The sequence below is a fragment of the Homo sapiens genome, chromosome 6 (assembly GCF_000001405.40).
Source record: "Homo sapiens chromosome 6, GRCh38.p14 Primary Assembly".
In the NCBI taxonomy this organism is placed as follows: Eukaryota; Metazoa; Chordata; class Mammalia; order Primates; family Hominidae; genus Homo; species Homo sapiens.
In genome coordinates this window covers 41,624,007-41,635,365 of record NC_000006.12, presented here as the reverse complement: position 1 = coordinate 41,635,365, position 11,359 = coordinate 41,624,007, and the positions used below count along the sequence as shown (strand labels likewise).

Genomic DNA, 11,359 nt, shown 5'->3' with positions numbered 1-11,359 from the left:
TGTGCATCCCCTAGATACCCACATTGGCCCTTTCCTCGTTTCTTCTGCTTATGTCAGCTTCTAAGAGAGGCCGTCCCAGACTTCTCACTCTCTGCCCCCAACACCATTTTATTATTCTACCCAGACTTTTTCAGCACTTGGCCTATTCTATATTTGCTCATCTGTTGGTAGAGTGAAAGGCCCTGAGAGCAGGGACTGGCTTGTCTACTAGTGTATTCCCTAGAGATGTGTCTGCCACAGAGAGTGCAATACATTTTCCAATTTCAGAGGTTGGAAAACAGAGGCCAGAGAGGGGAAAGAGCTAATGCAAGTCATGTAGTGAGTTAGTGGCAAAACCTTACCAAATCCCAACTTTCCAGACTCCCACCTCAGTATTCTTTCCTGCCTTCCAGGGCTTATTCCCCACTCTCCACCCCAGAGCCTTCCAGGCAACAAAGGGGACAGAACTGCCTTGCACGGGCTCTGCCCCTCACAATACCCTTCAAAGTGGAGCAGGCCAGCTCACAACTCCTCCCTTGCAGTTCATTCCGCAAGACCACAAGGTCTGGCCCAGCTCCAGCCTCTGGCGCCCACCCCTCCTTGGTGGCCAGCAGAACGCACAGCTCTTCCCCCACTTCCTGTCTCTGGCAGAGGGCCAGTCTGCTGGGCTGGCTTCTGCAGCTGGACCACAACTGTGGTCTCAGTGCCTGGAGAATGGGGTCAGGACACTGGGAGAATGGGACCCTCCCGGAAGAGGGATGCATAAATTGGGGCGTGTTTGTGTGGGGTGAGGAGAAGCTGCTGGGTGGGGATTGAGAGCCCCCAGCTCTTTCTTTCTACCCCCATCTCGGATGGGCACTGAGCAGAGAATGGGGCTCTAACCCTCCCCCTTCCTGAAGAAAAGAATGTGCAGTAGGATGAAGGGTGCTCTGGGCCCCATGCCTGATTCTAGCCCTCCCTGCTACCCCTGGTGATGGAGGATGACGGTGGCGTGTCAATTTCAGCGGTCATGTGTTGAGCGTGTTCTATATGACGAGCCTTTGCCAGATACTTCTAGATTTGTTATTTCCTTTAATGCCTACAACAGTCAGCATAGTTATTAACCCCATTTTACAGATGAGGCAACTGAGGTACAATGAAGTGATGTGAAGAGACTTACCCACTAGTAATGGGTGGAGCTGGGACTTGGACCATGTTTTCTGAAGCCAAACACAGCACTCACCCCAATCCCAGGCATGGCCTTCAGCGTGTAGAAAGGACTGTGATGTTCTCTTTCATGTGCTGCCCCCCTCCCCAAGCTAGTTGCTGAAGATAGGGACATGGCCCTCTGCATCCCTCCTCTGTCTCATTGTGTTGGGGTACCAGGAACTTGGCAGGGTATATAGGAAGAATGGGGCTTGGATCTGTGTCATGGAGACCAAATTTGCATCCTGGCTCAATCACTTCTACCACCCTATGTGATTTTGAGCAAATCACTTGAACTCTCCAAGCCTTTAGTTCTCCTGTTTAAACGTGGCAAAGGCGTTGGCTGTCAGCAAATGGGAACTCTTGCCCACCACGTCCCTCCCCAGGGGAGGGAAGCTTCAAAGGGCAACATTTCTGTTATACTAAGTTTTATTTACAAACCCTTAACCTCATACTTATGGTATTTTATTTTATTTATTTAGAGACCTTGTCTCAATGAGCTACAGGTGCATGCCACCATGTCTGGCTAATTTTATTTTATTTTACTTTATTTTTGTAGAGATAGAGTCTCACTTAGTTGTCCAGGCTGGTCTCAAACTGCTGGCCTCAAACAATCCTCCTGTCTTAGCCTACCAAAATGCAGGGATTACAGGCCATTTCAACAATTTTTAAGTGTACAATTCAGTGGTAATAATTATATCACAATGTTGTGCAAACAGCACTACCATCTATTTCCAAAACTTTTCACCACCTCAAACAGAAACTAACTATTAAGCAATAACTCCTTCTATTAATTTCTTAGGTCTGTCATGACAAAGTATCAAAAACTGGGTGGCATAAACTGGTAGCAATTTATTATTGCCTGATAGAGTTGGAGGCAAGAAGTTCAAAATGAAACTGTGGGCAGGGCTGTGCTCTCTCTGACAGCTCTGGGGGAGAAGTCTTCCCTGTCTCTCCTAGCTTCTGGGGCTTGCCAGCACTCCTTGAATCGCCTTGGTTTGTGGATGCATTGCTCCAGTCACACGGCTGTCTCTCCCTGTGTGTCCTCACATCAGTGTCTCTCTATATATGTCTGTGTCTGAGTCCACATTTTTTTTTTTTTGAGATGAGGTCTCTCTCTGTTGCCCAGGTTGGAGTGCAGTGGCATGATTTCCACTGACTGCATCCTCTCTACTTCCCAGGCTCAAGTGATCCTCCCACCTCAGCCTCCCAAGCAGTTGGGATTGCAAGCGTGCACTACCATGCCCGGCTAACTCTTGTATTTTTAGTAGAGATGGGGTTTCGCCATGTTGCCCAGGCTGGTCTCAAACTCCTGAGCTCAGGAGATCTACCCGCCTCAGCCTCCCAAAGTGCTGGGATTACAAGCGTGAGCCGCTGTGCCCGGCATGTCCAAATTTTTGTAAGGACACCAGTCATATTGAATTAGGGATCATATTAACCTGGTTAAATCTGCAAGGACTCTATTTCCAAATAAGGTCACATTCTGAAGTACCGGGAGGTAGGACTTAAGCATATCTTTTGGATTTTTATACATATTGCAGGAAATTACACAATTCAATCCATAACACTCCCCAGAAAAAGCTGGATCAAAGTAGAAAAGTAAAGAAGTGAGATGAAAAGTAAGTGTAAATGAACCTAATATAAATAAAAGTAAATGTAAATATATGTTTCTTCCTAAACCCCACTATGGAGACAATGATGTGCTACTGAAGGAATATATGTATTTAACAAACAGGCTTGCCTTACCCTACTGGTTAAGCTTTTCCTGGAGCCCACATTTCTTTGAAAATCTGATGAAAGCTATAAGCACCCTCTCCAAAAACCTCCCCCTTAAGAAAATGTAGCATTTCCAATACAAGCTGGGGAGATTCCTGGACACCCCAGAAAGCCCCATTGAAGAATATTTGCCGTAATTGGAAGGACTGCTCCAAGGGTGGAAACTCAGGCATCTGGGGAGTGCTGTTGGGGATGGGAAGAGAGAATTGCATCCACCTCTGTGGTCCTGTTTCCAGTCTGTAGGTGTTTTTTAATTATTTGTGTATTTATTTATTTTTTGAGATGGAGTCTCGCTCTGTCACCCAGGCTTGAGTGCAGTGGCGCGATCTCGCTGCACTGCAAGCTCCTCCTCCCAGGTTGACGCCATTCTCCTGCCTCAGCCTCCCCAGTAGCTGGGACTACAGGTGCCCGCCACCACGCCCGGCTAATTTTTTTTGTATTTTTAGTAGAGACGGGGTTTCACCGTGTTAGCCAGGATGGTCTTGATCTCCGACCTCGAGATCTGCCCGCCTTGGCCTCCTAAAATGCTGGGAGCCACTGCGCCCAGCCTCAAGTCTGTAGGTTTTTTAGGGTAATCTAACGTTATTGAAGACAATAAATAAGGCAAAATCGATGGGAAGTATAGAAAGTGAATTGAGTCGGATTATCAAAAAGCACTTCCTAGTAGCCAAGAGAATAAGACAGGATTGTGGGTGAGGAGGGAGGTGGAGAGTGGAGGAGAGCATTGGGTGGGTTTTTTTTTGTGTATCCTGGTCTCTGAAGATGCCCATGAACTCTAGTTGGGGTGACAGGTGGCCTGGCCTAAAGCAGTCAAGCTGATGGGTGGGATGATATCAGATTTCCACTAAGGGGGAATCACTGAGAGTTTGGGTTTGGAGTTTCCTTTCTGCTCTGGCCCTTGCAATAAGAAGAAGCAAATAAGTTTCACATTAATTACCCCATTTATTGCCCTCTATATCAATTGGAGCCCAATCAGGAAAATAGAAGGCAGTCTAGGCACCTCAAGGAGAAGACCGTTTAATTTAGGGAGTTGGTTACAAATGTCTTGGAAAAATGAATGAGCAAAGGGAGAAGGCGATGCTCTGAGTTGAGGGAGCTGCTACTGCCCGTGGGCTGGAACCAGAAGCACACACTTGCTGGTTAGCAGCTGGAAGCACTGCCACTGCCGAAACAGGCCTGCTGCCACTGCCGCTGCCGAGACAGGACGCTGCCACTGAGCCACAACCAAGGAGCCTGCCCTCCCAGGGATGCTGCTGGAACGCCTACCCTAGGGCCGCCATGGCTGCTGCCACTGCGGAAGTCACCTCCAGAAGCAGAGAAAGCTGCTATTCCCTTCCTCATGCCTTCCCATCTCTCACCACTTTATCCCATTGGCTGAACTTAACTGGAGTTCAGGAAGTGTCATTTGCAGGCTCCCAGGCCCTGCAAAAGAAAGATAGGAAAGAATGAATCTCAGAGCCAACAGGCAAAGGACCAGCACACCGTAGTAGCTAAAGCGGACCCCAGCCTCTTTCTCTCCTCCCTCCCCCAGATTATTGTCTTTCAACCTAACTGCTTCACAGCCTTTACACTAGAAGTAAGTGCATTGTTTGCAAATGTGTTTTGTGTCTCCCCTCACTAGAACAGATCGCCTTGAGGACGGGATTCTATCTTGTCTTCTACACTTTCTCCAACACTTAGAACAGGTGCCTGAGCCAGTGCTCAAAGAAATGTTCTTCCTGACTACTTTTGTCCTCTCTCAAGTAGAGAGAAGACAGAGTCTAACCCTGTTGCCCAGGCTAGAGTGCAGTGGCACGATTACAGCTCACTGCAGCCTCAACCTCTGAAGCTCAAGTGATCATCCTACCTTGGACTCCCAAGTAGCTGGGATTACAGGTGCACGCCACCATGCCCAGCTAATTTTTTTTTTTTTTTTTTTTTTTTGTAGAGAGGGAGTTTCGCCATGTTGCCCAGGCTGGTCGCGGACTCCTGAGCTCAAGCTCAGCCTCCCAAAGTGCTGGGATTACAGGAATGAGCCCATCCCACTCTCTACTTTTAATATACAAAGAAACCAAGGTCTAGAAAGCTCTGACTTGCCCAAAGGCATGCAGCTGCCATGACATGTCCTGCTGGCCAGCCTCAGAAAGGTCTTGGGTGAGGACAGGGCTGACTTGGCAGCTGCCCACTCCCTGCCATACCTCTGGGATCTGGCTGCCCCAAGCAAACTATAAGCCATGACGTTGATGCCTTTTTCACGTTTCCATGTGCTCTTGGAGCTGAGGGCAAGAAGGGGTGACTCAGCCGTGACCTCCTATGGGCTGGTAACTTCATTCTGCTCCAAGAAATAGGACATCCCGGTGGCTCTGCCAAAAGGGCCATGATGGAAATCAGGGCGTAGCAACTGAGGCAGGGACTGAGAGACAGGCACGAGGCCCGTGCTGGCCCCTCCCTCCTCAGTTCCCCAGGGTGGAGCGCTCAGTGGCAGAGTCACCGCTATACCTATACTTACGGCGACCATATTTCCCAAACCAAAAGTTCTTACATGTGGTTAGACACATATGACTGTCCCTATGAGGGAAATGGGAGAGAGAATTAGACATAGTGTCTATCCTAAGGTTTTTCAACCTCAGCACTATTGACATTTTCGGGCTGGATGATTCTTTGTTGAGGGCTGTCCTGCTCATTGTAGGATATTTAGCAGCATTCATGGCTGCTACCCACCAGATGCCAGTAACACCCCCAACCCCCAGTCATGAAACCAAAAACGCCTCCACTAGACATTGCCAAATGTCCCCTGGCCTTGGGGGGAGGCAGGGGTTCAAAAGCACTCCTGATTGAGAAGTACTGGTCTGTTCTTGAAACCCAGCGTGTATTCTATTCTGGACTGTCTAGGGGCCTGGAGATGGTGCCCAGTCTGATAGAGAAATATGGCCCTTGTCCCTCAAGGGAGACAGGCACAGTCCTGTCTCTAGTCTAAGGGTAGAGGTAGAGTCCTGCCCTTGGGGAACTCCTGAGCTAATGGGGGAGATTGGACAGTAGTCCCTAGACAGGTTGAAAACACAGTGGTCAAGAGCATGGACTTTGGTGCCAGAATGCCTGAATTCAAATCCTGGGTCTGCCATTCATAGCATAAGTTACCTCTTTGTGCCTCAGTTTCTTTATCTGTAAAATGGGCATAGTGATAGCATCTTTTTTTTTTTTTTTTTTTTTTGAGCCAGAGTCTCCCTCTGTTGCCCAGGCTGGAGTGCAATGGCGCAATGGCGGCTCACTGCAACCTCTGCCTCCTGGGCTCAAGTGATTCTCCTGCCTCAGCCTCCTGAGTAGCTGGGATTACAGGCGTGCGCCACCACGCCTGGCTAATTTTTGTATTTTTGGTAGAGATGGGGTTTCACCATGTTGGTCAGGCTGGTCTTGAATTTCTGACCTTGTGATCTGTCCGCTTCGGCCTCCCAAAGTGCTGGGATTACAGGCGTGAGCCACCCCACGCAGCCGATAGCATCTGTTTTTAGAATTTTATTACATTTAAAACTTTTTGTAACAAACTTTATTTTTTAGGACACTTTTAGATTTACAGAAAAATTAAGAAGTACAGAGTTCCCATCTATGTTACTGCCAGTTTTCCCAATTATTGACATTTGTTTCAATTAACGAACCAATATTGATACATTATTAGTATTGTTTTAAAGCCCCTAGTTAATTCATATTTTCTTAGTTTTTACTTGATGTTCTTTTTCTATGTCAGGCTCCCATTCAGGACATCACATCATATTTAGTTGTCATGTCTCCTTACGCTGCTGTTGGCTGTGACAGCTTCTTAGACTTTTCTTACTTTTGATGACCTTGAGAGCTTTGAGGAGCACTGGGCAGGTATACTGCAGGATGTCCTTCTGTTGGAATTTGCCTGATGCGTTTCTCATGATTAGACTGGGCTTATGGGTTTCTGGGAGGAAGACCACAGAGGTAAAGTACAATAGTCATGGGCCAGGCACGGTGACTCACACCTGTAATGCCAGCACTTTGGGAGGCTGAGGCGGGCGGATCATGAGGTCAGGAGTTCGAGACCAGCCTGGACAACATAGCCGGGTGTGGTGGCATGGACCTGTAGTCCCAGCTACTCAGGAGGCTGAGGCAGGAGAATCACTTGAACCCGGGAGGCAGAGGTTGCAGTGAGCTGAGATCGCGCTACTGCACTCCAGCCTGGGTGACAGAGTGAGACTCCGTCTCAAAAACGACAACAACAGAAAACAATAGTCATCAAATCATATCAATAGCACATCCTACGAACCATGACTTATAACCACTGATGTTAACCTTGGTCACTTGGCTGAGATCGTGTTTATCAGGTTTCTCCACAGTCAAGTTACCCCTCTCCTCTCCAAACTGTACTCTTTGGAAGGAAGTCACTATGTGCAGCCTATGCTTAAGGAGTCGGGAGCTCAGAGGGTTTTGGGGCATGTTGAATAAGGTTAGAAATGTAAAGTCCTTAGGGCAGTGCCTGCTGTGTGGCAAGCCCTATATAATGATTTACTGTTAGTGTGATGATGCCGAGACAGTCTGGAGGGGAGATCAGTGTCCACATAGAAAACATGCTTAGGACAGCTTGATAGATAGTGTACTGCATTAGGCCAAAGATGCCCCAGGAGTTTATGAGTATGTTACCATACAGGGCAAGAGGGACTTTGTAGATGTGATGAAGGGCGTGGAACCTTGAAATGGGAAGATTAGCCTGGATTATCCAGGTAGGCCAATCTCATCACATAAATCTTTAAAAGTGGAGAGCCTTGCCGGGCGCGGTGGCTCACGCCTGTAATCCCAGGACTTTGGGAGGCCGAGGTGGGTGGATCATGAGGTTAGGAGATCGAGACCATCCTGGTTAACATGGTGAAACCCCGTCTCTGCTAAAAAATAGAAAAAGTTAGCCGGGCATGATGGCGGGTGCCTGCAGTCCCAGCTACTCTGGAGGCTGAGGCAGGAGAATGGCGTGAACCCAGGAGGTGGAGCTTGCAGTGAGCCAAGATCGCGCCGCTGAACTCCAGCCTGGGAGACAGAGCGAGACTCCGTCTCAAAAAAGAAAAAAAAAAAAAAGTGGAGAGCGTTTTCTGGCAGAGATCAGAGAGAGAGTATGACAGCCTAGCAGAGGGCAGAGGCAGGCAGCAAGTGGGGGACTGTACCCTTCTTGGCCACCTTAGAGGGTAGAGAGAGGGAGCTAGGCCCCAGAAAGGCAGGCACTCTGCCAACACTTCAGCGTAGCCCCATGAGACGCGTGATGGGCCTCTGACCTGCAGAACTGCAGTAAGACAGGAAACTCACATTGTTTAAAGCCGCTGATGGAAGACTGGCAGCGATAGGAAACGAATTCATGTACTGACAAGCACAAGGCTGGAAGTGGAACCATAGTCCTAAAGCAAAAATGACTACTTACCAACTACGAATGAATCAGCCCTCCATCCTTGCAAGCTCAGTTTTTCCTAACAATAACAACCACGAAAAGAAATCAATGAGTCTACCATTTCTTGAGGGACAACTTCAGGCTAAGTGCTCCGCTAGGCCTTTTAAAATGTTGTGTCATGTAATCTTCACACCATGTAATACTCTTTCTATATTAATAGCGTAGACAGAGGGAGAGACCTCTTGTCCTTCCTTCTTCTCTCCCAGGTTAGCTCCTTGCTGATAATTAACTCTCAACAAGTCAAAATAAGCTCTTCAGTAAGCCAAAGTCCCTTTAAATCCAAAGAATTAGTTGGAGTGGTGTGTTTACTATCTTAGAGGCCTCAGTTCAAGAGTATCTAAAAGACAGTCTCGTAGGTTTGTCAGAACATCACCCGAATATCTGGAATATCCTGGAACCATTCATTCATTCAATACGCATCTGTTGAGCACCAACTCTTGAGCCCCTGCCCTCAAGAAGCTCAGTCTCTGTGGGGATAGTGAGGTGTGGACAGGCATCACCACAGCCTGGAGCAGTGTGGGTTGTAGCCGCCTTCAGGAAGCATACCGTGTTTATTTAACTGGGGAGGAGGCATAAGGCTGTGGCAATCTGGGAAGGCTTCAAGGACGTGGCGCATTTAACTTGGGCCTTTAAGAACAGGTAGGCTTCACTAAGCAAAGATAGTGCCAGAGGAATTCCAGGTAGGACAAGCAAACGCACAGAGGCAGGGGAACAGAGGCCCATGGATCTTCTATGTCTCATGGCATCCTTATTGAGTAGGTGCCAGTATTGTCCCCATTTTGTGGAAGAACAAACTGAGGCACAGAGCAGTTGAATGACCTGCCCTAGAGAACACTCAGCTTATAAATGGTAAGCTGGGTTTACAGCTGCAGTCTGACTACAGAACTCCCGCTCTTAGTCTTTTCTTCACATCTGCTGGGGAAATGCAAGTTTAGCAGGGTGAATTCAGATCATGGGTGCAAATAAGTGAAATGCATTTAACCATTCCCTTTGTCATTCAATAAATATTGACCACATACCCATTGGGTGCTAGCTCTGTGCTAGGGGACTTAGCAGTGCCCCCCAACCAGGAGCTCCCATCTGAAGGAGGAAGGAGATGTGTGGATGGAGACCTGCCTCACTACTCAGTGAGTGCCCCAAGAGAGGGGGACAGAGGAAGGAAATTGTGGATGTGAAAAGCTGGCTCCGGAGGAATCCTTTTTTTAGGAAGATAAGCGAGGGAGCCAAGTCAGTAGAGTCAGGGAAAAGCAGTCCAAGAGCCAGAAGTCAAGCCAAGAGGGCAGAACCACACCCACCCCTAACATCTGCAGGACCCAGGAAACCCCACGAACCGCCTCTGGCTCACAGCCAGCCTCTTTCTGTTCACACTCCTGGCTTGTCTTGCAGAGTGAGGAGCGTCATGTGAATGAGCATGCCAGTGCCAGCAATGCCTTCAGGCTCTGGCCTATAAACAGCTCCACCTATAAACAGCTGCCCCTGGTTACTCCTCAGGCGAGGGGACATGTACCAGAATCACACTTTAGCCTCATAAGGACAAAGCCAGGAAAAGGAGGAAAATAAAACAAAACCAAAAACAAAGGGGCATGAAGAAGCTTTTGGAGGTAATGGCTGTGTTTGTTACCTTGATTGTGGTGACGTTTTCACAGGTATATGCATAAGTCTAAATGCATCAAATCGTATATAGGAGATGGGTGCAGTTTTTTGTGTATCAACAACAAAGAAGAAAAAGGAGGAGCAAGAGGAGGAAGAAAAACATAAAACAGACATATAAAAAGAAAATAGATGATGGGGCTGGGGGAGGGGAGGAAGGGGAAGTGATGCCAACGGGTGCAGGATTTCCTTTTGGGGAGATGAAAAGGATCTAAACGTGACTGTGGGGATGGCTCACAAAGCTGAATAAATGAAAAACCGTTGAATAGTATTTAAATCTGTGAACTGTATGATACATAAATTACATCTCAATAAAGCTGTTACAAAAAATAGCTATATGCTGGGGCACGTGGAAGCTTCAATAAGCTTCAAGGAATTGAAATAATATTTTAGAAAATAAAAAGAATAATAGGCCAGGCACGGTGGCTCATGCCTGTAATCCCAGCAGTTTGGGAGGCCAAAGTGGGCGGATTGCGAGGTCAAGAGATCGAGACCTTCCTGGCCAACATGGTGAAACCCCGACTCTACCAAAAATACAAAAATCAGCTGGGCGTGGTGGCGCGTACCTGTAGTCCCAGCTACTTGGGAGGCTGAGGGGGAATTGCTTGAACCTGGGAGGCTGAGGTTGGAGTGAGCCGAGATCACGCCACTGCACTCCAGCCTGACGACAGAGCAAGACTCCGTCTCAAAAAAAAAAAAGAATAATAGGGCAGGCCAGGTTCAGTGGCTCACGCCTGTAATCCCACACTTTGGGAGGCTGAGGCAGGTGGATCACTTGAGGTCAGGAGTTTGAGACCAGCCTGGCCAACATGGTGAAATCCTGTCTCTACTAAAAATAAAAAAAATTAGCTGGGTGTGGTGGCACGTGCCTGTGGTCCCAGCGACTCAGGAGGCTGAGGCAGGAGAATCACTTGAGCCCAGGAGGTGGAGGTTGCAGCAGTGAGCCAAGATCGTACCACTGCACTCCAGCCTGGATGACAGAGCAAGACTCCATCTCAAAAAAAAAAAAAGAAGAAGAATAGGACAAACTGAGGGAGGAAGCCCTTGCAGGCTCTAGAAGAGAGCCTAGGGCTATTGGGGCAAATAATGTCCAAACATTGGTTACCTGGCCCATGGCCCAGCGACAAGTTACACGTTCCAGGGAGGTGTGTTTCTTTGACCCCGTGAGCTCCCTGCTCTATCAGGGACCCTGGTTGTCCAGGTCTAAAGGCCATTTTGGATAGAATCATGGAAGCCCTAAGAACAGGTTTCAGCCTTTCTCCCTCTTCTCCAGGGAGGCTGAGTGGAGCAAGGATAAATAAGAGGCCACTGGCCGGGCGCGGTGGCTCACGCCTGTAATCT

At 48.2% G+C, this 11,359-nt stretch overlaps 2 annotated features.

The window, feature by feature from the left end:
- Positions 119-619: an enhancer, noted in NCBI's record as "H3K4me1 hESC enhancer chr6:41602485-41602985 (GRCh37/hg19 assembly coordinates)". NCBI's record gives its function as "activates a minimal SCP1, AML or CMV promoter by ChIP-STARR-seq in naive H9 embryonic stem cells {active_cell/tissue: H9 hESC(naive)}" and the evidence as "EXISTENCE:reporter gene assay evidence [ECO:0000049][PMID:30033119]".
- Positions 620-1,120: an enhancer, noted in NCBI's record as "H3K4me1 hESC enhancer chr6:41601984-41602484 (GRCh37/hg19 assembly coordinates)". NCBI's record gives its function as "activates a minimal SCP1, AML or CMV promoter by ChIP-STARR-seq in naive H9 embryonic stem cells {active_cell/tissue: H9 hESC(naive)}" and the evidence as "EXISTENCE:reporter gene assay evidence [ECO:0000049][PMID:30033119]".